The sequence below is a fragment of the Homo sapiens genome, chromosome 16 (genome assembly GCF_000001405.40).
Source record: "Homo sapiens chromosome 16, GRCh38.p14 Primary Assembly".
Lineage (NCBI taxonomy): Eukaryota > Metazoa > Chordata > Mammalia > Primates > Hominidae > Homo > Homo sapiens.
The window spans coordinates 27,739,953-27,767,462 of NC_000016.10; the positions used below are offsets into that span (position 1 = coordinate 27,739,953).

The following is a 27,510-nucleotide window of genomic DNA, read 5'->3' on the forward strand; positions in this document are numbered from 1 at the left end:
TTTCTTTTTTTGGTATCTTCGACTTCCAAAATTTCATACATCAGTCTGATGCTATGCATCTTCACTTTGTTAAATCTTATGGTTTCAGGATCTTGACATTGGTGCCAAGAACGTGAAGCTTTACGTCAACAGAAACCTCATCTTCAATGGCAAGTTAGACAAAGGAGATAGGGAGGCCCCAGCTGACCACAGCATCCTGGTTGACCAGAAGAACGAGAAGAGCGAGCAACTAGAGGAGGCCATGAACGCTCACTCGGAAGAAAGCAAAGGCACCCATGAGATGGCTGGTGCCAGCGGGGACAAGGAGCTTGGTCTCGGTTGCTCACCGCCAGCTGAAACATTAGCGGATGCAAAGCTTTCTTCACAAGGAAATGTGTCTGGCAAAAGAAAGAATTCTACTAATTGCAGGAAAGACAGTTTGTCCCAGTTAGAGGAATATTTGAGACTGTCGGCAGTCCCCACTTCGATGGGTGACATGCCCAGTGCTCCTGCCACTTCCCCACCTGTGAAGTGCCCTCCTGTCCATGAGGAGCCCTCTCTCATCCAACAACTGGAAAACCTCATGGGCAGAAAAATCTGTGAGCCACCCGGGAAAACCCCATCCTGGTTACAACCTTCTCCCACCGGCAAGGACAGGAAGCAGGGAGGCAGGAAGCCAAAACCCCTCTGGCTTAGTCCCGAGAAGCCCCTGGCCTGGAAGGGCAGGCTCCCATCAGACGATGTCATCGGTGAGGGTCCTGGAGAGACCGAGGCCAGGGATAAAGGCCTACGGCATGAGCCAGGGTGGGGGACCAGCCGGAGTGTCAACACCAAGGAGAGACCCCAGAGGGCAACCACCAAAGTCCACAGTGATGACTCAGACATCTTTAACCAGCCCCCCAACAGAGAGCGCCCTGCTAGTGGGAGGAGGGGCTCAAGGAAGGATGCTGGCAGCAGTAGTCATGGGGACGACCAGCCAGCCAGCAGAGGTAAGCTCCAAAGAGCAGCCCGACTTGGGCATCATCATCCCAGCCCCTCTAATTGGCATGAAGCCAGTTAGCTCCTGGACCTCAGTTTCCTTATCTGCACAACAAGATGGTTGTTCTCAACTAAGGGTCACAAAATCACTGTCTCAGGGGCCAAAGAGATGCATACATGAGTGAAATGGGCAAGACACATTTTGCATGGTAAATTCATAGATGTATTTGTCATTGCCACCAAGGTATGTCCCTTTGCCCATTTTTCTTGCAACACATGGCTTTTCCAAGCCATTTTCCAAAAGACTTTGTTCTCCTGCCTTTCATAGAGACATCGGTCTCTAGTCACTTCACTTTATCCTTAACTGTACTGTTAGAAAAATAGCTGGGTACAGTGGCCAGGCCTGTAATCCCAGCACTTTGGGAGGCTTAGGTAGGAGGATCGCTTGAGCCAAGGAGGTCGAGGCTACGGTGAGCCATGATTGCGCCACTGCACTCCAGCCTGGGTGACACAGCGAGACTCTGTCTCAAAGAAAAAAAAGAAAAAATAATAACACAAGTGTGATGATGCATAGCAATTGACACTTGCCTGAGTGTTGGAAGTGGCACAGGGAATAGTGAGGACTTTGGCAATTTGGAGACCATAAGCCCACCCACAGGGCGGCTGCCACTCCACTCAGGTTTCTAATAAGCATTTAGGAGTGCAAGGCCAGGCCGGGCGCAATGGCTCACACCTGTAATCCCAGCACTTTGGGAGGCCGAGGCGGGCAGATAACCTGAGGCCAGGAGTTCGAGACCAGCCTGGCCAACATGGTAAAACCCTGACTCTACTAAAAATACAAAAATTAGCCAGGCATGTGGTGCGTTCCTGTAATCCCAGCTACTTGGGAGGCTGAGGCAGGAGGATCACTTGAACCTAGGAGGTGGAGGCTACAGTGATCCGAAATTGTGCCACTGCACTCCAGCCTGGGCAAGAGAGTGAGACTCCGTCTCAAAAAAAAATAATGAATGCAAGGCCACTGTACCAGACCTCCTCTTTACTTTTTTCAAGAGAAACCAGAAATGTTTCTTATTTTTTGACTTTGGCAACTGATTGAGATTATTTTTAAACTACTGTATATGTCAAAAAAAAAAAAAAAAGGCACATCTGCTGGCAGGACTCACCCTGAGAGCTTTGTGAACTTTGCAGTAGATGATTAGATGGTCTTCAAGGGCATTCCTGATTATGAAAGGAGAGCCCATCAAGGCAGGGAGTCTCAATATTTGCACTCAGACTTGGCTCCTGGAGAGTACGGATAGCAGCTAGGAGTCAAACCATTGAATCCAAACTCAGCCGCTTACAGACCTGGGACCTCTAGCCAGGCACACAACTCTCTGGGCCTCAGTGTTTTCATCTGTAAAATGGTTATGACTTCCCCACCCAGTGTGGCAAGGAAAGAATGAGATGATGGCTTCCAAATAGCAACACTGAGCCTGTGACATGATGAGTGCTCGGTGAGTAGTAGTCGTTATTTCACCACTAGCTTGGACGAGGTCCTTTTCCATCCACAGAACACTCAGGCCTGCCATGCCAGGGCTCACCCCTAGAGCCTCTGGATTTAACCCCACCCCATACCACGTGGGAGCACAAACCCTGGAGCCAGGCTGCCTGGGCACGTATCCTGGCTCCATCACCTCCAACCCACACCTCAGGCAGGTTCTGAAACCCTGCTGAGCCTGTTTCCTCCTCTGTAAAATGACACTAATAATACATGGGGTGCTGGGAGAATAAATGAGATCATACTTGTGGGGCATTTAACACAGTGCCTGGCACACAGGAGCCCCCAAGAGATATTAGCTGTTCTGTCATCATCATCACCCTCTCTGTGATGCTGCCTCTTGGTGAAATATCTATGCAAAGCCAAGGCATGCATTTTTTTTTCTAGTTTTCTTTTCTTTTTTTCTTTAACTTTTATTTTGGGTTCTGGGGTACACGTGCAGGATGTGCAGGTTTGTTACATAGGTAAATGTGTGCCATGGTGATTTGCTGCACCTATCAACCCGTCACCTAGGTATTAAGGCCAGCATGCATTAGCTATTTTTCCTAATGCTCTCCCTCCTCCCACTACACCCCCCAACAGGCCACAGTGTGTGATGTTCCCTTCCCTGTATTCATGTGTTCTCGTAGTTCAGCTCCCACTTATAAGTAAGAACATGTGGTGTTTGGTTTTCTGTTTCTGCATTAGTTTACTGAGGATAACGGCTTCTGCCTACCTCCATGTCCCTGCAAAGGACATGATATTGTTCCTTTTTATGGCTGTATAGTATTCCATGGTGTATATGTACCACATTTTCTTTATCCAGTCTATCATTGATGGGTATTTGGGTTAATTACATGTCTTAATGCATGCATTTTTTTAATGATTCAAATCGGCATCTTCTGTATTAGGGAGTGTCTAGCAGATATACCCCTGACATGTCACTTAGGGTACAGGAACAAGTTCCTCAGACTCCAAGTGTTATCCTGGACAGAGCTGCCTCCTCTGATTCCCCAGCCTTACAAATTTTTGCTGCTCACCCCTTCTGAGACTTAACACTGAGGCTCAGTCAGTGTCAGGAGGAGGGTAAGGTGGAAAGAAAGAGTTGAGGAGCTCTCTGAGGGCAGGCGCCTGGCTCATGGCAGGTCCTCCACAGTGTGGGAGGGCCATTGTAAAAAAGAACTGCAGTGACCAGGTGCACAGCATGCTTGTGGTAAGCCAGGCTCTGGTCCAGGCACGTTACCCAAATAACCTCCCAACAGACTCATTTTACAGATAAAGGGAACATGAGATTGAAGTAATATTTTTCAGGTCACATAGACAGTAAGGGTTAAAGCAGGACTGGAACCCGCACAGATCAGCTCTACCATACATGTTTCCAAACATTACCCTATAGTAGTCACGGCCTATGGTCACAGCCATCATCACCCACCTGCCCCGGGAAAGCCAGGCCTTCCAAGCTTTCCCAGCAAACAGTCGGTGCAAAGCCTCCAGGAGTTCCAAGGCAATGGTGTTACTCCAACTTGCCCAAATTCAAGAGATTTTGTTTCACTTTAATTTCTTTCCAAGCATTTCAGTGCTTGGCTCAATGCACATTAAGAACCAAGCCCCTGAGATTTCATGCTTGTTAAGTCAGTCGTGCTAAAAAGGAAAGTTGCTTAGAAATTTTAAATTATCCATTACCCAGAGCCAAATACCGTAGCCATGCCCTTCCGGAAAGGTACAGGCCAGCCTACCAAGAATGCTGGTAGAATGAATGACTGCCCAAGTTCTATTCTGGGATTGGAATTTCGTTGCCAGTATAAGAGAGAGCCTGGGTAGTGGGTGCACTGTCTCACACCTGTAAACCCAGCACTTTGGGAGGCCAAGGTGGGAAGATTTCTTGAGGCCAGGAGTTCAAGACCAGCGTGGGCAATATAGTAAGACTCCATCTCTACAAAAGTTTTAAAAAAAATAGCTGGGTGTGGTTGTGTGTGTCTGTAGTCCCAGCTATTCGGGAGGCTGAGGCAGGAGGATCACTTGAACCCAGGCACTGAAATGCCTGAAAAGAAATTAAAGTGAATCAAAATCTGCAGTTCAAGTCTGGAGTTCAAGGCTGCAGTCAGCCATGATCACACCACGGCACTCCAGCCTGGGTGACAGAGCGAGACCCTGTCTCTAAAAAAATGAAAATTGGGCTGGGCACAGTGGCTGTTGCCTGTAATCCCAGCACTTTGGGAGGCTGAGACGGGAAGATCACCTGAGGTCAAGAATTCGAGACCAGCCTGATTAATGTGGCAAAACACCGTCTCTACTAAAAATACAAAAATTAGCCAGGTATGTTTGTGCGCACCTGTAATCCCAGCTACTCGGGAGGCTGAGGCATGAGAATCGCTTGAGCTCGGGAGGCTGAGGCATGAGAATCGCTTGAGCTCGGGAGGTGGAGGTTGGAGTAAGCCAAGATCACGCCACTGCACTCCAGCCTGGGTGACAGAATGAGACTCTGTCTCAGAAAATAAAATCATAAAATAAATAATAAAAGAAAATAAATTTAATTAATTAAAATCAAAGTAATATAGGGAATTTATGAAAATCAAGACAGAGCAGGATCCGATCTCTTTAAAAAAAGAGAGCAAGAGAGAAAGAGCAAGCCTGAGAAATCTTATGCTCAGCAGAGCATCTCGTTGAATGCCATCTGCATTTTGGAAGTATTTTCATCAGGGGTCAGTTGTTTACAGGTGGAGGAGATCTCATCAGTCCAGTTTGAGCAGTAAAGAGGATGTTATTTGGAGAATCCTTAATGATCACCTTGACCCCAAAGGTAGAGAGTGTAGCCACTCATCACAGGGGACCGGAAGGAAGAACCAGAAAGTTGGCAGGAACCAAGGACGCTTCTTTCTATTTCTTCTGGGCCCTACCTCTTCTTCTCTGTGGGTCCACTTCCCCTCACTTTCCTCACGATATCAGCTTTCTCTGCTACTCACACGGCCTCACAGCCATATGAGCAGAAATGTGAGGAAATGGCCTCACAGCCCTGGAGTGACTATGCCCAGCTCTTGTTCCTGCAACCAATTCCAAAGTCTCAGGGGAGAAGCCAATTGGTCTACTTGGGTCAGGTGTCCACTCCTTGTCCAATCAGTTATGGCCAAAGGGTGATTCACTGGAATAAACATGGCTCTGTGATATCCCTCTAAGTACTTCATCGTTTCCTGTTTTAGTAGCAATTACCACATACCTCATGGCAGTGCAGTTGATTTTGACAAACTTCAGAGCTCCATAGTCCTATTCATCTCAATCTAGGAGTATGTCAGGAATTTTGATAGCACCATCTCATCACTGGGGGCCCTCCCAGATTGTGTTGACTGCAGGTTGAAGGAGTGGCTTTCTGATGTCTGTGCAGATTGTAGAAATGTTGGTGACAACAGGACAGAGCACTAATCCCAGCAGCTCCCCAATTCCCCAATTCCCATGGAGTCTGCAGACAGAGAGGTCCGTGGGCCCCCAGCCAGCTCTCATGTCAAAGAGGTCTAAGAGCAAGGCTCAACTCCTCTGCTTTTTTTTTTTTTTTTTTTTTTTTTGAGATGGAGTCTTGCTATGTCACCCAGGCTGGAGTGCAGTGGCACAATTTCAGTTCACTGCAACCTCCACCTCCTGGGTTCAAGTGATCCACCCACCTCAGCCTCCAAAAGTGCTGGGATTATAGGCGTGAGCCACCGTGCCCGGCCATCTACTCCTCTGCTTTTAAACCCAGAGTGTACAACTCAGGGAGAATAGGTTAGAAAGCAGACGCAGAATGAAAGCAAAGTCCCTGCCTGCCTCGCACACTCAGGCAGCATCCCTGACACGTGACATTCGGTGCTGTCTCCTTGGTGCGCTTGCAGACCAACCCAGGCCATTCATTTTAGTCAGTGGAAATCAAATCACATAAACTGAAGTCACGAGAATCCATCTGGGTAGTTCCTTCTGCCACATGTTAAGCCTCGTGCCTGAGGGGAGAGGATGGAAGAAACCTCTGGTATCTTTTTAAATGGCAGATGAGAAGTGGGGGAGGGCAGAGGACAGGGGCAGAGGAACTGACAGGTGGAGGGGGGAGTCCCTCGGCCTCTAGGCCTGATCCTGAGGGCTGCACAATTGTGGTGCCAGTGTCCATCCCTTCACTGGCATTTCCACACACCAGGAGCTGTGCTGCGCACTGGGACACCTCCAGGAGCGAGGATAAAGTGGCAGAGAAGGCCTCTCCAAGGAGGCGGGTGACAAGCAAAGCCAGCTAGGTGGGCCTCCAGAGGAAGAGCACTCCTGGCAGGGGTGCAGCAAGGGCAAAGGCTCTGAGGCCAGAAGAGACAGCCTGTCCAGGGAGCAGGAGGGCCAGCGGGGCTGGAGCTGAAAGATCATGGTGGGGAGCGCAGAGGGGAGGGGACAGGAGTCAGTGGCGGCCGTACTCAGGGCTGTGGGCATGGTAAGAGTCAGGTTGTCTTGATTCTCAGTGCAGGAGAGACAATGCCAGCTAGAGGGGTTGATGACAAATTCCATTTTAGGCACATAGAGACTGAAGTGACAGAGTGGACATGTCTGGACCTTCCAAGAGGTCATTGGAATTGAAGGATGGTGCCTAGGGAAGAGACGGCAGAACTTGACCTGTAAAGTTAAGCAGGGCCTGCCTGGGAACCAGGAGCTAAATGAGGGCAAGGAAGGATGGCAGTGTCAGGAGAGGAGCGGCCTGGGCCTTGGGACACCCCCAGACTGAGGGTAGGACTGGGGTGATGGAGAGAGTTGTCAGTGGGAGAGGCAGAGAACCAGGGAGGTATAGTGGCTCCTAAGCCAGTGGAGCAGGAGGTATCAAATGGAAGAGGTTTGCCAGGGATGTCACACATAGACTGAAGACTGACAAAGACTGGGAGGTCATTGTTCACTTGGAGAAGGCATTTCAGTGGCGGGTTAGGGAATTGTAGGAGTCTTACGGATGCAAAGGCCAGAAAGCCACCAGGAGTTTGACTTTAGGCACAGCTGGATCCAGGAGTTCAGAGGTTGTCATCAGGATCCTCCATCTCTCGACTCGTGTTCTCGGTGTTGGCTTCATTCTCAGGCAGGTTCTCTCTATAGGGTAGCAAGATAGTCTTTGGCAATTCCACATGTACATCCTTCCAGCTTCAGCACCACCAGTTTAAAGAGTGCCCCTCCTTGAGGCCAGCTTGGAAGGATACTGTCGGCATTGATCCAATTAGATGGCCGGAAGGTGGGGGGTGGGGTGTCCCCAAAGGATCCCCCAAATCTGAGTGGAAGGGGAAGTGGAGTTTGAGTGAGCAAAACAATCCCACTGGAAAGAGGCACCGGGTGGCAGGGGCTTGGGAGAGGCTGGGAGGGGTGGGAGGGGTGGCAGAGCACCTGAGCGAAACAGGGAGAAAATAGGGCTGTGGTTGGAGGGAGCCACAGGAGCGGGTCGCCTTCCTGTTTCTTCCTTTCTTCTCTTCCAGGTAGGAGAGATTTATGCATGTCTGCAGGCAAAGAGGGGAAAGTGCCAGTGGGGAAGGAGTGATTGGAGATTCTGGAGAGAGGAGATAATTGATGGAGCCGAGCCCCCTAGGAGACAGGCAGGAAATGGAGTACAGGGCACAGTGCGATATGAAAGGAGGAAAAACAGAATGTCAGTGTCAGCAGCCGCTGTTTTTGCAGGATGACACCCTTAGATGGCAGTGAGCCATGGCGTGGCTGTGAGAACAGGCCACTGCGTGGTGTGCACGCCGTGGCTCTCATGTTCCATAAGGAGCGTGGGGCCTTCAGATCAGTCTGGGACCGTGTTCTCCACGCACCTGGGACACAGGCTTTAGCCATGTGTGCAAGTAAATTCCTTACCTTATAATATACCTGGCTTAATGGCTTTTTAAAATAGCATTTTTGGCTGGGCGCGGTGGCTTACGCCTGTAATCCCAGCACTGGGATTCGCCCAGCTGAGGCAGGCGAATCGCTTGAGCCCAGAGTTCAAGACCAGCCTGGGCAACATGGCAAAACCCCATCTCTACCAAAAAAATAAAAATAAAAATTAGCCGAACATGTTGGTGCACACCTGTGGACCCAGCAACTCGGGAGGCTGAGGTGGGAGGATCACCTGAGCCTGGGAGGTTAAGGCCATGGTGAGCCATGATCACGCCACTGCACTCCAGCCTGGGTGACAGAGTGAGACCCTGTCTCAATAAATAAACAAATAGCATTTTTTTCTTGATGATAAAAGTATTACAGGCTGGGCCCAGTGGTCATGTGTATAATCCCATGTACTCGGGGGGCTGAAGCGGGAGGATCGCTTGAGGCCAGGAGGTCAAGGTTGCAGTGAGCTTTGATCACACCACTGCACTCCAGCCTGGGCAACAGAGCGAGACCCTGTCTCTAAAAAAAATTAAAAAGAAAGAAAATAAAAGTAATGCATGAAGGGAATTTAAAAAAATCAAGCTACAAAGAAGAAAATAAAAGTCCTTCCTGCTCCCCACCCAGAAACCAGGAACAACACTGTTAACACGGGTGCATGTCACCCGTACCAGGATATGCTGCATTTAAAGCTGCGTATCTGGCTTTTTCCTTTTAACGTTCTTTTACAAACCTTCCACCTGCCATTAAATTGTCTTTGAAAACACCGTTAGAGTCACGTGACTGTGACAGTCTCCAGCACACACCCTCTTGTGGCTGACTCAGACGCCTCAGGCAGCAGCATTGCCCCTGGTCATGTGAGTTTCTACAGTGGGGAGCGACTCCTGGCAAAGTTTCTAACACAGCCAAGTAGTCTTCCCTTGGTTCACACGATGATTGCATTCTTAGAAAATTCAGTCTATGAAAAAATGCTTTGTGTTTTTGCAAAAACAACCAGATTCTGGAATTGGGTGATCATAGACAATTATTTTACCGACCTGAATGGCCCACAGGACAGTCAGAAGCTGTGTGGGACAGGAGACCAAGCTCTGTGCCAGGGCCCCCATGCAGTGCAGGATGGTAACATGCCTGGCCCCAGCCATCCAGTGCCAAGAGGCCTCTTGGCTAAGGAGACAGCCGGGAACAACCCCGCTGGTTTCTAGAGGGCTCCCCTGGAGGTGGCCCTGCCTCACTGAGAGCCACCACAGGAGACAGTCTCTAATGGTCCCCACTTCCACACATGCCACTCACAGGGCTTCCCCCCTCTTGTGTCCTTTCTTCCAGAAGACACCTGGTCTTCCAGGACGCCGTCACGGTCAAGGTGGCGCAGTGAGCAGGAGCACACACTTCACGAGTCATGGAGCTCCCTCAGTGCCTTCGACCGCTCCCACCGGGGACGCATCTCCAACACGGAGCTCCCGGGGGACATCCTGGATGAGCTCCTGCAGCAAAAGAGCAGCCGGCACAGCGACTTGCCCCCCTCCAAGAAGGGGGAGCAGCCAGGGCTGTCGAGAGGGCAGGATGGCTACTCTGGAGAGACAGACGCTGGGGGTGACTTTAAAATCCCCGTCTTGCCTTATGGACAGCGCTTGGTCATTGACATCAAGTCTACCTGGGGGGACAGACACTATGTCGGCCTCAACGGAATAGAAATATTCAGTTCCAAGGGTGAACCGGTGCAGATTTCAAACATAAAAGCAGACCCTCCCGATATCAATATTTTACCAGCCTATGGGAAAGACCCCCGCGTGGTCACCAACCTCATCGACGGGGTGAACAGGACCCAGGATGACATGCATGTCTGGCTGGCCCCCTTCACGCGGGGCAGATCCCACTCCATCACCATTGACTTCACGCACCCTTGCCACGTTGCCCTGATCAGAATTTGGAACTACAATAAATCTCGGATACATTCCTTCCGAGGCGTGAAGGACATCACAATGCTGTTAGACACCCAGTGCATCTTTGAAGGAGAAATCGCCAAGGCCTCTGGAACCCTGGCGGGAGGTATGGCGTGTCTGTAAGAATTTTCTCAGAGCCCCTATCTGTGACTTGCTGAGAGTCTATGGGAAAAAACAGACCAGCTGGCTAGCCAACAACAGATCAGTCCTTTCTCTTTCTTTTTTTTTTTTTTTTTTGAGACGGAGTCTTGCTCTGTCCCCCAGGCTGGAGTGCAGTGGCGCGATCTTGGCTCACTGCAAGATCCGCCTCCCGGGTTCACGCCATTCTCCTGCCTCAGCCTCACGAGTAGCTGGGACTACAGGCACCCGCCAACACGCCCGGCTAATTTTTTGTATTTTTTTTTTTTTTTTTTAGTAGAGACAGGGTTTCACCATGTTAGCCAGGATGGTCTCGATCTCCTGACCTCATGATCTGCCCGTCTCGGCCTCCCAAAGTGTTGGAATTACAGGCGTGAGCCACCGCGCCCAGCCCTTTTTTTTTTTTTTTTTTTTTTTGGGTGGGGAGACAGGATCTTGCCCTGCACAGTGGCATGGTTTCGGCTCACTGCAGCTTCGACCTCCTGGGCTCAAGCAATCCTCCCACATCAGCCTCCTAAGTAGCTGGGACTACAGGTGCACCAACCCACCTGGCTAATTTTTGTATTTTTTGTAGAGACGAGGTTTCACCATGTTACCCAGGCTGGTCTCGAACTCCTGGGCTCAAGTGATCCACCCACCTTGGCCTCCCAAAGTGCTAGGATTACAGGCATGAGCCCCTGCACCCAGCCACAGACCCGGTCCACTCATCCCCTCTTACAGCATGAGTGTGCTAGGCCTGACCTCATTCAGCATCTCCCATAAAGCACCTGTCTTGGTCCGGCCCCTAGAACCTGAGTCTGAGATGGGGCATTCTTTGGCAAGTGACTTATGGAGGGAGTGCTCCTAGGAGAAACCTGGCATAGTGAAGCAAGGATATAGTTTCCAGGAAGCCCAGCCACAACCAGATCTTGAGGGAGGTCTGGAACATAAATTTCAGGTCTTTCCTGCCTGAAGGTGAAGGAGCAGGGCGTTAGAACCCCACCTACCAGGCAGTCATTGGAACCAAGGCTTGCCGGGTTGGAGCTGTAACTCCCACACCCTTCCAGGCAAGGCACTCTGAGAAAAGGATCCACCAAGATCTGGGTGGGGTACCAACAGCGTCTTGCATAGTGCCTTGCCCACCCCAAAGAAATGTCACTTGCCTGATGACATATCACAGTGATTCTCATGAAATTAGATCCCTTCCTTAGATCCATGTGATGCTTATGGTCCGTGCATTCCATTTGCAAATCTGTGAAGACTAATAAGGCTCACACTAATCAATACCAGTTAAGGGTGTGGGGTTGTACAGCACAGAAGTGGATGGGTTTAGGCTCTTGATCTACAAATCTCTGGGATGTGAAGTGAGTTGACCTTTCTGTCATCTTGATAACCCATTAGCCCCAGAGCACTTTGGAGACACGATCTTATTCACAACCGATGATGACATTCTCGAGGCCATATTCTATTCTGATGAGATGTTTGACCTGGATGTGGGGAGCCTGGACAGCCTGCAGGATGAAGAGGCAATGAGGAGGCCCAGCACGGCCGACGGCGAGGGGGATGAGCGGCCCTTCACCCAGGCTGGCTTGGGGGCTGATGAACGGGTAGGACTGGAGCTGGGGGGCTGTGGGGGGACCCCCAGATAGGTTTCTTCCCCTAACTCAGAGTAGAGCAGGGAGAATTAAGATGGATATCCTTTAAGCTGCTGGTGCCACTGTGTTGACATTTCCCATCTTTCTACTTTGTTTTTTTGTCCTCTATGTCATATTTCATTCTCTAATTATTTTTATTTTTTTATTTTTTTTTAACCGAAGTAAAGAAAGTATTCAAATTCTAATCAAAGCCAGGAGAAATGAGCTCTGTGTCATCTCTGCAATTCAGAGGTTGGCAGTCTGGGGGGAGTTTTTGCTTGGGGTTGCGTTTTGATCATTCACTGTTGTTTTTGATGGAAGGACTAGGAATGCTTTTCATAGGCAGAGTTACAGTTAAAATAATGATCATCACAGCCATGGTTTCATGAACACATATCATGATCCAAGCAGGGTACACAGTGTTCTTGTTTCACCCTCATGACAACCCTCTGAGTAGAGACTATTAACATTGCCATTTCGGAAACTGATGCTCAGAGAAGTCAAGTGACTTGCCCAAGGGCACATTGTGACAGAGAAACAAGGGTAGAACTTGAATGCGTGATTCCACAGTTTATGCTTTTAATTGGTAAGCAACTTATTATTTTTTTATTTTGTTTAGAGATAGGGCCTGGCACTGTCGCCCAGGCTGGAGTACACTAGCGTGATCATAGCTCATTGCAGCTCAAACTCCCGGGGCTCAAGCAATCCTACCACCTCAGCCTCCTGAGTAGCTGAGACTACAGTGCATGCCACCATGCCTGGCTAGTTTTTTTTTTATTTTTTGTAGAGATGTGGTCTTGCTATGTTGCCCAGGTTGGTCATGAACTCCTGGACTCAAGCGCTTCTCCCACCTTGGCCTCCCAAAGTGCTGGGATTACAGGCAAGAGCCGCCACACTTAGCCAGATAAACAAATCTTTTAAAATGAAAGATGACCTTCAAGGTCAATTCAAGTCAGGACCAATAGGAAAAAGAGGAGATGGTTAAACAGGGTAGGGGAGAAATGGGGACAACACAAGCCACAAGGGATGGGGCTGGGCTGTGGGAAGGTCATGACTGAGGCAGGACAGCAACATGTCGTGTGGACCCCATGGTGTTCCCTGGGGATTGTACCTCGCAGCCAGGCAGAGCATGGGGTGCAGGAGCAGGGCATGGGGAGGCACAGGCAGCTGGGGAGTGCGTGCCCCTCCCCCTCCCCACATCTAAGGAAAGCGGCCACCAAGAGGGGCAAGCCCATTGTTGCCAGTTCTCCTGATTTTTACAAGAGAAGCCAGAAAGCTGGATTTTTCTGTAAAACCTCTCCATTTAAAAATGCTGGCAGTGAATTCAGATGTGTTCAAACCTTTTTTGGGCCACAAGCCGTGCCTGTGCTCCTGATTCGACCCAGGGGTCTCCAGGTGGGAGTCTACCCTGGGCGCTTCCATTTGCCCAGCGTTTTCCAAATGACAAAGGTGCTCGTAAGGGACTCTGATGGGCCCAGCGCTGTGAGGGGCTGGGGGGATCACTCTCTCAGTCTCGTGAGAGACCAGCGCCTTCACTTATGGTGCAAAGAGACAATGAGCAAATAGTTTATATGTAAGGCCCAAGAAGGGTGTGGTGGCCCACCGTTGACTCTCTGAAGACCAGGATTTTTTATCCTGGCTACCCGTGGAAATCACTTGGGTGGATCTTTAAAAATGTCTGGGCCCCACCCCTAGAGATTCTGCTTCAGTGAACAGCCAAAGTTAAGAGCCACTCTCTATGGTTTGAATTCTTCCACTTCCCCTTCCTTCCTTCCTTCCTTCCCTCCCTCCCTCCCTCCTTCCTTCTTTTCCTCCTTCCCTCCTTCCTTTCCTCCTTCCTTCCTTCCTTCCTCTCTCCCTTCCTTCTCTTCTTCCCTTCCTCCTCCTTTCCTTCCTTCCTTTCTTTCTTCCTCTAGCTCACCACATAAGCATTTATTGAGTCCTTCCCTGTTGGAGGAAATTTAAACACCTTAGCTGTTAGCATCAGGCTCCTCCCCAGCCAGTGAGAGCTGCTGACAAGGATGCAGACCCTGGAGGGTCAGGGTCCGCCCATATCACTGGTCCCATAGCTTCCACAAAGGCAGAAAAATCCAGGAAAACACACAAGGACTTACCTGGGCATAGGGTGGGCAGTGGTAAATGCAGAAACAGCCAGCCAGCTAGCTGTGTGGGTATCACTAAAACCACCCCCTTTTCCTCTGCTTCTCCAACCCATGTGCAGATCCCGGAGCTAGAGCTCCCATCCAGTTCCCCTGTCCCCCAAGTCACCACGCCAGAGCCAGGCATCTACCACGGAATCTGTGAGTAGCTCTCCTGGAGCAGTGTTGGGTGGAAGGAGGACCTTCCAGGGACAGGGGGAGTTGTGGCCACTTGGGACAGGGTTTCGCTGGACAATCGGGTGGGTTGGACACTGTACAGAGACACCAGGCCATGGGGCAAGTGGAGGCTGAAACCAGCCTGCGCTCAGCTCCCTGGCCCTAGCAGGGCCACCTCACTCCAGAGGAGGGGCATCTCTTAGCATTTTGCCTTCCCTGAGGGGCATTTTTGCATGCAGACACCCTATGTGTTAGCTGTGACCATGACCCTGACCCAGGAGGTGTAGTTGGCACCCAGAAAGTGTAGAACAAGAGGACATTAGAGCCTGAAGAGACCCAAGGCATCTGTTGGTGCAGTGCCCCGAGCTGTCTCTTCCAACTCCACCAAAGAGTAGATGCACAGGCAGAGAAAACCTGCATCCACTCTGCCCCGGGGGTGGGGGCAGGTGCACAGGCCCAGGGTACCAGGTCTTCTGACTTTTCAGAAGAAGTCGGAAATCTAGAGTCTTACGTGAAGTCTCCAGATTCTCAAATGTGTGTAACGAATTTTCTCATGTTTTAAAATATCACATGAGCCAAATAAAACACTTATTGTGTATCTGGCCAGCTGGCTGCCAGTTTGTGACTTCTGAGCAAATCCCAGGGGTTTTCTGCTGGGCCTGTTCCTCACCCTTCTTTTCCATTGATCCTTCCAGCCAGTTCCTCTCTTCATCCATGCGTGTCCACATCAGCCCCTCCCCGTCCTGGGGAATCTTCAAGCCCAAGGTCACTGCTGATTGTGATCTCCTCCCTCCTGCACCCTGCTAACCAGGTTCCTGGCAGCCTCACTTCCTGCTCTCTCCTGCCCCCTGTGAATGTGACCCGCTTCTACTTTATCTTCTGAGACAAAAGATGTGACACTGTCAGGATCCCCTCCCCACCTCCCCATCCTCATCTCCAAAATGAAGCTGGAGCCTCTCCGAATCCTGGTGTCAGCCCTTCCGGGACCTCCCCATGCCATCTCTGGAGTCCACCTGCAGGCACCTGTGCAAGCCACACCTTCCACCTAGGATGCCTCCCTGCTCCATCTCTGCCTTCTGACGACCACCTGTCGCTGGCTAGGTTCCCTAGACACAGACCCTGAGATGGAGTTTCCTGGGGTGTGCTCTTGTCAGGGAAGGGTAGGAGGCAGGATTGGGCAGAGGGAGAAGCTGGTCTGCGGTTCAGCCACTTCAAGGCCTCAGCCTGCTCCACAGGGAGCTCGGAACCTGGGATGGCCCTTTGGGGTCATCCTGAGTTGAGTGAGGGGCCATGTCTTTATCTGTATCAACATGGCACTGGCTATGGGCTGCCCCTGGGGAGGGGCATGGCTTTTTATTTTACTTTTTAATTTGTATTTATTTATTTTGACACAGTTTTACTCTGTCGCTCAGGCTGGAATGCAGTGGCATGATCTCAGCTCACTGCAACCTCCGCCTCCCAGGTTCAAGAGAGCTCCTGCCTCAGCCTCCCAAGTAGCTGGGATTACTGGTGCCCACCACCACGCCCGGCTAATTTTTGTAATTTTAATAGAGACAGGGTTTCACCATGTTGGTCAGGCTGGTCTCGAACTCCTGACCTCAGGTGATCCACACACCTTGGCCTCCCAAAGTGCTGAGATTACAGGCATGAGCCACTGTGCCCAGCCGGACATGGCTTTTTGCAAGGAGACTCTCTTCAGCCAAGGGCAGTCACAAGTCAAGAGCCTCAGTGGTGAGCTGCCAGCCGTCAGCACTTCCCGCCACCAGAGGACTAAGTCCTTCTGTTCCTGGGGGTGGGAGGTGGGGTCTGAGCAGTGCCCTAAGTGAGCTCCACATCCCCTCCCTTATGGCCCTTCTGCGACCGCATCTCCTCCCCAGGAGTCTTCTCTATCATCCCCTGTGAAAATTCATCTCTCCTTCACCTACTCCAAAATGACCAATGATCTCTTAGAAGGTGCCTTAGAGGAAGGTGCCTTATTTGGAATTCTCATAGCCCCTTACATTCCAGGGCGCACTCTCAATTACTTTCGAATAGCAGCAGTTTTAAAGGCCAACCTAACATTAGGCAAGAGCCTGGGTTGAGGCTTGGTTTCATCTCCCAGACAGGCACTGTGCTGGGCTTTCTCTGCCTTATCTCGCTGTAACACTCCTAGCTCTGTTTTCCATGAGATCAGGCAGCTGAGGCTCAGAGAGATGGAGTCACCTACCTAAGGTCACACGGCCAGTACGGAAGCTGGGAGTGCAAGCAAAGGTGTTTGAATCCAAAGCCCACATCCTCACCACACTAGCAGATTGCCTTAGGGTTGCCACTGGGAGAGCACCTCACATCAGAAGCCTGTGTGCAAGAGTCAGTGTCCCCCATGAAGCTGTGAGGTCCCAAAAGACAGCCATCGTTTTTTATTCAATTTGGTTCTCCCCTAAGTTGGTCAGGATTTTTTTTTTGGCAGGGGATGAATAATGGAAATTTAATTCAAGCTGAGTTCAGCAAAAAAGGGAACTTATTGGCTTATGCAACTAGAAGTTAGGGGTCGTCAGTTTCCACACAGCTGCGTTCAGTTACGAAAATGATGGCATCAAGACATGGTGTCTGCCTCCCTCTCCCTGCTTTCTTTTCGTCTCTTGACATTCTCCCATTCAACACCATCCATGTGGAAAGTCCTGGAAGCTCCAGTTTATGCCTCCTTTCTACCCAGCAGTCCCAGATGAAAGACAACTTCTGTTTTCCTGAATCCCAATAGTTGCAACTACTATCCCAGAATTAGATCTCTGGGCCTAGCTTGAGTCATGTACCCATTCTCTTTTTTGTTATTTTCTTTGCTTGCTGTTATTGTTGTTTTGAGACAGGGTCTCACTCTGTGGCCCAGGCTAGAGTGCAGTAGTGCAAACACAGCTCACTGCAGCCTCATACTCCTGGGCTCACGAGATCCTCCCGCCTCAGCCTCCCGAGTAGCTGGGACTGTAGGTGTGCCACCGTGCCCGGCTAATTCATATGTCCATCCTTAAGTCAGCCACTGTGACTCACCATGGTGGGTAGGGCGGGAGGTGGGAGATGGAAAACAGATTGGCCAGGCCTGGAGCCCAGAGAAAGGGGTCAGCCACCCAAACAGTGTGGACCGAGCACAGGGTGGTTCTCCAGAGCGGGTCAGAGTGTGGTCACCAGAAGGAAGGCAGGAATGCTGGCCAGGCAGAAGCAGCCACTGTCCCCTTCATCTGATGATTTCCCCAAAGATGCTGCCTGTAGATGTGTTTCCTGCTGACCCAGCTCCTGACCTTTCACAGAGATGTTATTTCAGTGCCTTTGGGAATTTGGCCCTGGAGTAGAGCTCAAAGACCTTTTTACTGCAAGGCAAGTGTAATTTCTCTTCTCTTCTCAGTAGGAAGGCAGAAGAGCCTCTCAACCAAGCACCCTCTGCGTCTGTTTTGAGGCCTGTGATTTCTGCATCTCTTCTCTCTGAACCTTTGGCTTTTTCCTCACCGTATTCAAAATCCTCAACCTGCTTCACCACTCCGTGCAAGAGCGGAGCACAGAGAGAGCTTTAATAAAGTGACCCGGGGGGAATGTGTCGGGGTTGGTAAATACGGCCAATCCTATTAATGTTTTGAAAGGGGATATATGACTTGCTAATTTGCAGATGACACTAATTTTGGAAGTTTTGCAAATATCAGCAGTGATGAATAAGAAAGGAGCTGAGAGGGTTGAAACATGGGGGAGAAATAACAAAATTAATTTCCATTTGTATAAATACTAATTGATACACCAGAGGAAAATGAATATGGAATGTTGGATATTAGCTCGAAAAGGAGAGTAATCAATTTCAGAACAGCCCCAAATTAGATGGAATCGCAGTGCAGCTTGCCAGGCAAACAAAGAGATTGTAGGCTTGGGAGAGACTGGGCATCTCTTTGTTGTCACAGAGGGAGGTGGCATTTCTCCCTCGCACTGATCTCCATCATCCAAATCCACATCCTCCTCCACCTGTGGCCCTTCTGTCTCAGGAGTGGTGCCACAGTTCCTCTGTCACCTAGGTCAAAACTTTTTTTCCCCTTCCTTCTGTATCCAGACCATTGAGAATCCTGGTAGTGCTATCTCTGAAACAGATCCTGTATCTGTCCCCTTCAACCCTATTTTCATTGCCACCAGCCTTGTTCAAGCCATCCTTACTGCAACAGCTTCCTCCCTGGTCTCCCTATAAAATCCAACTGATGGGAGCTTTATAAGATGCAGATCAGATCATGTTGCTCCCCTGCTTCAACATAGAATCTGCCAGTAGCTTCCCATTGCAAAGAGAGGAAAATCCAGGCTTCTCGATATGATCTAGCCCCTGCCTACCTGTCTGATTTCATTTTCTTCTACTCTCTCCCTTGGCCGCTTGGTTCCACCTATGGGTCAAATTTGCTCTCCTCTCAGCCTGGAATGTTCTTCTTCCAGAAATGCAAAAACATGATAGGTTCCTTCTCAGCACCCTGGTCTCAGCTCAAATGTCACCTCCTCAGGGAGGCCCTCCCTGACCACCTCTGCTCATATTCAGTCACTCCCTATCCTGTTGCTATTTTCTTTCATAGTGTTCATCACTCTTGGAACTGTTGCCTTTCTTTGTTCATTATGTGCTTATTGACAGTCTTTGCTAGAATGCAAGCTTCTTGAGTTCAGAGATTGTGCTCTGTTGTTCATTCCTGCAGCTCTTATGCCAAAAATAGGTTCTGGTACACAGTAGATGACCAATAAATATTCGTTGACTGTTGACTGTGAAGTTGGTAAAACCCAATAGTTTTCGTTTGTCTCATTTACTTGCAGATATCTACTGAAGCCCTACTTGTTAATTAGTCATGTGTTTAAAATTTTTACTAAAAACATTCATTGAACATCTACTAAGCACTGTTCTGGGCTCCGGGGATACAGCAGTGAACAAAACCAGCAGAGTCCTGGCCTCAGGGAACTTCCGTCTTAGTGGGGGAGACTGATGGAGACAAATAAGCAAATCAATGTAGACTCGATTGTCAGGAAGCATTCAGTGCTATAAACAACAAGGCGAGCAGGGTAAGGATGTAGAGAGTGATGGGGTGAGCAGGGCTGTTTGAGCTCTGGTTATTAGGGAAGGCCTCTCAGGAAATGACATTGGAACACTGACTCATGCTGAGAAGGAATGTGTCAGCTAGCTTTTGCTGCCGAACAAGCCAATCCAAAATCCACTGGCTTAACACAACTACCATGAATTATATTCATGACTGACTGGTAATTCAGTATCTTGGCTGGGCAGCTCTGGGTGAGCCAGCTTGGTTGGCCTCTACTGGGCCTGCTCGAGTTCCTGATCAGCAGGGAGGTGGACCAGCAGCTGAATGACCTAGGACATCTTCACCCACCCGTCTGGCAGTGGGGAGGCTGCTGGCCAGAGAGACAGGTGTCTGGGTTAGCTGGGCTGCCTCGCATGGCAGTCTCAAGCCCCGAGTGCTTTACAGGCTCTGCTTGCCTCACGTGGGCTTCTGTCCCAGTGTTCAAAGCAAATCACGTGACCCAGAGTCAGGAGCAGAGAAGGAAACTCCAACTCTGGATGGGATGAGGGGCAAAATCACATTGCAACAGCAGGGACACGGGATGGGACGAGCTTGTAGCCACTTTGCACGTGAATGATGCGGCGAGAAGCCCATGTGCAGGGTGCCGTGCTGGCCACATGTTTTTTTCATCTGCCCCAGAGATGCTCAGAGTTACCTTGGCACCACGAAGGAGGAAAAGGATCTGAGGGCTAAGTTACAAAAAGTATGTTGGGAGATGTCAGGGGCGTGGGAGAGAAAACCAAGCTCCAGGGAGGTCAGGTGACCCAGCCCCTCTTCATGGCCACAAAGAAGTCCTTTCACCTCTCTGGGCTTCCAGTTCCTCATCTGAGCTGCAAGGGGGTGGTGCCAGATGACACCCTGCTTCCTTCTGCCTGCTCTGTGGTGCTGGCATTTCTGTGAACGCTGCAAAGAGTGAGTCTTACACTTAGCTACCCAAAAGGGTGCTAAAATATGCGGCAAATTCTCTAAGGGCAGAAGGGTTTATTGTGTTTGGTCTTGCTCTAATGAGACACCGTTAAGGAAAGAGACGTTCCAGCCAATTATCTGACAGGGCTTGATCAAGAGATTCATTCCATTTGAGTTTCCTGGGCAAATGAATGACATCTGGGCTGTTTTGCCCCAGGGCCACAGAAGGTCACTTCTAAATGGTCTCTGATCGAGAGAGGATGGGAGCAGAGGCAAAAGGATGGCGGTATCACCCTAGGTCACTTCCTTTACTCTGAGCCCACGTGAATGTTTGTGATAGCAGCCAATTTGCATAAAATGTCAGTTTCCAGCGCTGGGGCTTACTGATACAAGTCTCCATGTAGTTGCTGGTTTAATCATTCCATCTGTACTGAGCTCCTACTGTGTGCCAGGCACCATGCCAGGCTCAGGACACAGTGGTTTAGAGAAACAGATGGGGTTTCTCCCTCAAGGAGTTAGGCATCTGGCGGGGCAAGTGGGTATTTACCAAGATCACGCGATTACAGCAGTGACCAGGGCTTGGAAAGGGAAGTGTACAGTGGCATGGCAGGTTATCAATGGAGGTTTGACCTGGTCAAAGAACTCAGGAGGGCTTCTCTGAGGAAGGGAGCTGGGATCTGAAGGGTGCTCACAAGTCAACCAGGCCATGTGAATTCTAGGGAGGGGTGACAGCACATTCAAAGGCCCTGTGGTTGGAGAGAGAGGAATATAAATACGAGAAACTGAAAGACAGCCTGGGTGGGGCCTAGGGTCCCTGGTGCACAGTGAGGTCAGAGAAGTAGATAGAAGTCTGATGGGGAATGCGTTGTTGGCCAGAAAGCATGGGAAGCCACCAAGGATGTTCAGTGTCGGGTGGGACAGCACAATCTGGTAGGCGGAGGAAGGACTCAGGGCTATGTGCAGGTTTAACCCTCGCCCATGCAGCTTACCGTTGTTTCCTGAGCACTGACAGTGGCCTGGGCCCAAGGCCACCTAGAGGAAAGCCACAGAGCCCACCTGCAAGGCACTTTGGGTCTGGGTTGAAGTTGCTAGAATATAGAGGCCGAATAGCATTCCTCTTCCTGTCTTCATTTTAGATGCCTCCTCTGGAGCCTCTGGTGCTAATGGGCCACTTCTCTTCCTGTTGCAGGCCTTCAGCTGAATTTCACTGCCTCCTGGGGAGACTTGCACTACCTGGGGCTCACTGGCCTGGAAGTGGTGGGCAAGGAGGGCCAGGCGCTGCCCATCCACCTGCACCAGATCTCTGCTTCCCCCAGAGACTTAAATGAGCTCCCCGAGTACTCTGACGACTCCCGGGCCCTGGACAAGTAAGTGTCTATCAGAAGCTTTACTTTCATGCCCACTGGGTTTTGGGGACATTGTTCTGCCTCTGAGACTTCAGATTCAGACATCAAATAGAATCGCATATGTCCCTCCCCTGGCCACCCTGTGAGGTAATGTGGTCAAGGGAAACCGAGGCTCAGGAAACCAAGGCTCAGGAAAGAGAGGTGGGAGGTGATTCTCCAGGGCCACACAGCTGGAAGTGTCAGGCGGGATTTGAAGGCGGGTTCCCATGCTTCCAGACACAGCCATGGTCTGCATTTTCTTCTCTGTGCTTAGCAGAGCGTCTCGCACACAGTAGCTGTCTGTAAACCTTTGCAGTGGATGGTTCAGAGTTTACACATGAATGACCCAGGCCTCCCGGGGGCTGAAAGCTCCCTCTCCCCTCCTTGAGGTTAGAGGTGATGGCTCAGGAAGCCTCCACAGGCGGTGGTGGCTGCACTTTCCCCTGCACTTGTCAGATTTCATAAGCCAAGGTTGCGTCAAGTCAGTAGGTGGGGAAGCCTCAAATACAGCATTGATCCACATGGACCTGCAGCCCACAGACCAGCACTCAGTTCCCCTGCCCTGCACAGCCAGAGGGTCTGGGCGCTGCTTAGAGGTGTGAACTAGGGGAGTCAGAGGGATGGGAGTTCAAATCCCGCCTCTGCCCCATGCCAACTATTAGGTAACTTTCTTAACCTCTTCAATAATAACAGCAATGCTAATAATAATAACTGATCATATGACTGCCAGTTTTTGAGCACTTATTAAATGCCAGGCACTGGGCTATGCGAAGCAGGTGACACATGTTCATCCATTGAAGCCTCAAACAGCCCTTTGAGGAAGGGACCATTATGAGCCCTACTATACCGATGTGGAGACTGAAATATGCAGAGGCCACCTAGACTAGTGCAGTGGCAGAGTCATGATTGGAACGCAGGCCTGTGGCATACCTACCATCCACTCACTTAACCACTAAGTTATACTGTCTCCCCTGCCTTGGTTTCCTTATCAGTAGAATGAGGAGTCATTCCCATGGCATGTCACATTGCAGCCACATCCCTTGGCCTGGTGCTGAGCTCATGCAGAGTTGGTGGCAGGCTTCTCCCTGCTTTTCTATAAGGTGGCCCTGAACCGTGGCCTCACCCCCTGCTATCATTAACTGCTCATGGGCCCCTCTGACCACCCCCAACATCCTGGCAAGTCACTCTCCTGAGTATTTAGGCTTGGAGCCTGGAGACCTGGCTCCCAGTCAGCTGGAAAAGTGATCAACGCACAGTGCGGCTTATGGATCCTTCCCACCCACTCACCACCCACCTGCCAGATTATCTGTTGGCAAATCCCAGGCCTGATAGCATTTCCTCTGTCAGTATTTCAGTGTATACCTCTAAACAATAAGGGATTTAAGAGAAAACATAATCCTGGTACCATTGTTATACTTGAAAAAGTTGCCTGTGCGCAGTGGCTCATGCCCATAATCCCAGCATTGGGAGGCCAAGATAGAAGGATCACTTGAGCCCAGGAATTCGAGACCAGCCTGGGTAACAGTGAGAATGTGTCTCTACAAAAGAAAAAAAAAATTAGCCAGGCACTGTGGCACATGTCTGTGGTCCCAGCTCCTTGGGAGGCTGAGGTAGGAGGATCACTTGAGTCCAGGAATTCAAGACCAGCCTGGGCAACATAGTGAGACTATGTCTCTACAAAAAAAAATAAAAAATAAAAAATAAATAAAAAAAAGTAGCCAGGTACTGTGGCATGTCCCTGTAGTCCCAGCTACTTGGGAGGCTGAGGTAGAAGGATTGCTTGAGCCCAGGAATTCAAGACCAGCCTGGGCAACATAGTGAGATTGTGTCTCTAAAAAAAAAAAAAAAAAAAAAAAAAATAGCCAGGCATTGTGGCATGTGCTTGTAGTACCAGCTACTCAGATGCTGAGGTGGGAGGATCACTTGAGCCCAGGAGTTCAAGGCTGCAGTGAGCCGTGATTGTGCCACTACATTCCAGCCTGGGCAACAGAGCGGGACCCTGTCTCAACACAAAAAAAAAAAAAAAAAAAGAAAGAAAGAAAAAGTTAACAATGATTTCTTAAATTACCAGATATCTAGCAGATTCATAGTCCCCACACCCACCCTTTTTAACAGTTTGCTCATTTGATTTGAGATCCAGATAAGGTCTATGTGTTGTGATTGGTTGCTATGTCTCTTAAGCCTCTCTAGGTTCTCTTTCCCCTTTTTCCATTTTTTTCTTGTAAATTACCTGTTGAAGAAACCAGGTGGACCTGAATTTTACTGGCTGCATCTCTATGGTATTGTTTAGTCTGCTCCTTGCTCCCCTGTATTTCTAGTACATTGTTAATTAGATCTAGAGGCCTGATCAGATTGAGGTTTGACTACTAGGGCAAGATGGCCCTGGGGACATACAGAATAGAATGTCTGGTTGCCAGGCTCTTTGTGATGTTGGAAGCCAGTCATGCTGGCGAAGTCCATTAATTCATTAGGGGTTGAAAAATGGTGGTATTTTCACCTACTATTCTTTTTTAAATTTATTTGCTGAAATAACTGCAATAAAGAGAGAATTTCCCTCAATTATTTGGCTACTCTGTGGTGAAATTCAGATGGGAAAGGCAGCCTAAGTGTTGGATTCTCTCCCCTCCTTTTCTTTTTGGCTTTCCAAATAACTGTTTCTCTAGCATCGTCTAAAACGTGTGTTTCTTTTTAGGGATTATTATGAACTCATGGATTTTAAACATACAGTACTGCATTTGAAGAGTCAATTCTTTGCAGTGTTTATCCTGATTGATGTTTAAATCATTCCCTCTTGGATGCTGGGAAGTCCTGAATCCTTTTAAACGGTCACCTTTCTTGCCTTCTGATGTGACAGATGCTTCAGGCTCATCTGGTTTATTTCTTGTCCCAGACCTGGCATCAGCCATTTCTCCAAGAAGCCCTGGTTCCTTTTAGTGGGTAATGGTATTTAGAGACCATAATCTGGCCACTAGGGATGCTCACTGCTACTTGGTCCGTTGCTGTTTCTAGGCTTTTTTATGGATAGAGCTAGGAATTCATTTAGATGTTCTTGAGAGTGTCTGTGGAGTCTTCCTTTCACTGTCGGCTACAAATGCTCCAGCAGTTCTCTCTGCTCTCAGAATTGGGCAGGTTTGCTATGGAGCAGCCCCATTTCTAGGACAGAAACATAATTGCCTTTAGAAGGAAATAGAAGGTTCTCTAGTGGTCATCCTCAGTCAGCTTAGTTCCACAGACACTCCAGTGTGGAATTGCTGAATTTCCTCAGTTTTAAGATGCCAGCAATTGTCAGACACACCATCCATCAATTTAATAACAGCCTTTTAGGGAACAAAGAAACATTGCCTCCTTGGGTAAACACTTCGATTATGAGATTTTTTTTTTTTCCAAATTCACAACTTTAAAATGTAAAAGGAAACAAAAAGTTTCTTTTCAAATCTAGGAAATGTGGCAGCAGGCCAAGTTTCTCCCAGTACAGCAGCTGTGAGGTACCAGGAATCCAGGGTGTGGAGTGGGGAAGGTTCTAGAAAATGGGAGGGAGAGGGAGGTTGCTCAAAAGGCTGCCAGCTGGGCCCTTTTTTCCAGGACCAGGCTTCTGAATGGCAGTGCCAGACACGTGGGCCAGAGCCACGAGGACAAGGGCCTGAGGCCTGGGCTGAGGCATGCTGGGCAGTCCGGGGAAGCGAGAGGCACGATTGTCCTTGGGACAAACACAGGCCCACTTGAGGATGAACAGGATGTCCCAAGCAAGGGAACCAGAAACTGGCCAGGACAGGAGTGCGATAGGGCTGAGGTGACAAGCTCAGAGTGCCAGCTGGGAAGAGCATGAGGGGCTCCCTCCTACAGGTTAGAGGCTTCCCTGGGATATCCAGGCCATGCGGTCACAGAGCATGGTCCAGCCAGAGCAGCTCCCACAGTCACCTGCCCCTCCTTCTACTTGTTCCAAGCCAAGAGCTGCAGAGCTCACCTGGTGCTTTTGTACCTCTCTCCCCCAGCATGGGAAGGAAGGGCTACACTTCTTTCCAACTATGCTGTAAAGCCAACACAGCAAATTTACAGAAAGTTTGGAAACTTGAGAAAAATACTCACCTCCATACCCTCTGACCCAATTATGTTTTTCACTTTTGCACACTCTCTCCTGGTCCTTGTCCTCATTTCTCAGCTTTATAATCAGTGTCCTGCCTCCTCCATGTGACTGCAGTGTCCTCATGATGGCACCTTAACCCCTGTGAAATTTACTTAACCATTTCCTGATTTTGAGATCTTTTAGGTTGTTATCCTTTTTTAAGCTATTGTAAATAACACTGTAATGAGCATCTTGGTTCGGATAGCCTTTCCCATATATTGAATACATTTTCCTTCTGGGGAAGAAAATCCCAGAAATGGGATCACTGGGCTAAAGGATTCTGAAAAATGGTTCATTTTCCCTTTTAAAAAAAAAACAAAAACCCTGATGATTGCTTTTCTGCACCTTTAACAGCATAGCCTTTTTTTTTTCTTTTAAAAAATGTCTCATTTCATAGATGAGAGACGACTTCTGACTGTTGTTCTCAGCAGTCACACCTCCCCTTAACAAGCCTGACACAGCCAGGCTAGTGCCAGGCAGTGGGGACGTACTTGGGGCCGAGGGGGTGGGGGCCCCACTGTGATGCCTCCTGTGCCCACTGAGCCGCCCCCCTGCCGCTCCGTCCCCATTGCTGCAGGTTAATTGATGGCACCAACATCACCATGGAGGATGAGCATATGTGGCTGATCCCCTTCTCGCCGGGGCTGGACCATGTGGTCACGATCCGCCTGGACAGGGCCGAAAGCATCGCAGGCCTGCGCTTCTGGAACTACAATAAATCTCCCGAGGACACCTATCGCGGGGTAAGCTGGGGAGCAGTGGCCGTGCTCAGTCCAGCATCAGGGAAGCAGCACCTTGATGAATGGCTGGCGTGGCAGCCAGAGAGGAGCATAAATCCTCCAGAATTTTCCAAACGGAGCTGGGGGCGTTATGTCCAGGGAGAGAGAGAGCTGCTGTTTCCTTCTGCAAATGGCAAATGCAGGCTAAAGAGCGCAGGGCATTTCCAGGGAACTGCACAGCACCGTTTCTCCTGGTGCTGGGGGGTCCTAGGCAGGTCCAGGCCCCAGCTTGCCATGGTCAGTTTTGTCCCTCAAGTCCCTTGAGTGCTCGGGTGGCCAGGCCTCTGCTGAGGGCTTCACGGGCATTCATTGTTTCACTGGATTCTCATTCCAGCCAATGGGAGGTGGGTGTGATTACCCCCATTTCTTAGGGTCTAAAACTGAGGTCCAGGAAGGTTCACTTGCCCATCCAAGGCCACACAGCTGGAGTCTCCACCTTGGCCAGCCAGACCTGGAGCCCACATTGTGATTTCCGTGTGATGTTTTGCTGAGTGAGAAGCAGCAGGGGGGCGCTTCTGAGACTCAGCCTCGGTGGGAATGAAGAAGAGAGCCTCGGAAGAGCCCTTTTCTCTGGCTTTTCTGGCCTCAGGTGACTGAATGGGTGCCCTCCAGTCATGTAAAAGTGACAATGAGGCCACCGAAAGGTAGCAATTCAGCTAGGGCCCTACTATCAGGAGGGCCTGAGTCTGAGTCTCAGCTTGGACCCAACCAGCTGCGTAACCTCTGGCACGTGGCCTGCCTTCCCTGGGCCTGTCTCCTCATCTATAAAATGAGGAGGGAATAACACCTGCCACGGCGGATTGGCATCACCGTTGCCAGGTAACAGTTGACAAAGCCAGGACTCAGCCTCAGGTGATCCCCAGATCTGGGCTCCCCACCATATACCCACCATGGAATTTATTCTAGGGCCTTAGGAATTGTATCACAGACCAGGTGTAGAGGCTCACGCCTG

General features: G+C 49.8%; 1 protein-coding gene and 1 long non-coding RNA gene across 21 annotated transcripts in view, besides 1 other annotated feature; one reads left to right on the top strand and one right to left on the bottom strand.

Annotated features, from left to right (window-relative positions):
* The window catches only part of KATNIP (katanin interacting protein), a 230,201-nt gene that overhangs the window by 189,809 nt on the left and 12,882 nt on the right, over nucleotides 1-27,510 (top strand). For 18 of the 20 annotated variants that reach the window (XM_005255201.4, XM_005255202.4, XM_011545775.3 and 15 more), the window contains 6 exons: nucleotides 89-968; nucleotides 9,632-10,354; nucleotides 11,767-11,972; nucleotides 14,221-14,299; nucleotides 21,461-21,638; nucleotides 26,357-26,522. In XM_005255201.4, coding sequence (XP_005255258.1) covers nucleotides 89-968; nucleotides 9,632-10,354; nucleotides 11,767-11,972; nucleotides 14,221-14,299; nucleotides 21,461-21,638; nucleotides 26,357-26,522 — 2,232 coding nt within the window. Of the gene's footprint in view, nucleotides 1-88; nucleotides 969-9,631; nucleotides 10,355-11,766; nucleotides 11,973-14,220; nucleotides 14,300-21,460; nucleotides 21,639-26,356; nucleotides 26,523-27,510 lie in introns of those variants that run through there. The other 2 variants (XM_005255206.4, XM_047433846.1) reach the window with 1 other exon arrangement.
* Nucleotides 6,364-7,938, bottom strand: LOC105371157 (uncharacterized). The gene is made up of 3 exons (XR_950957.3): nucleotides 7,835-7,938; nucleotides 7,411-7,546; nucleotides 6,364-6,438 (listed from the first exon to the last, which is right to left on the bottom strand). It is a non-coding gene; the product is annotated as an uncharacterized LOC105371157 (long non-coding RNA).
* Nucleotides 20,054-20,113: an enhancer, noted in NCBI's record as "active region_10635". NCBI's record gives its function as "activates an Ori minimal core promoter by ATAC-STARR-seq in GM12878 lymphoblastoid cells {active_cell/tissue: GM12878}" and the evidence as "EXISTENCE:reporter gene assay evidence [ECO:0000049][PMID:35858748]".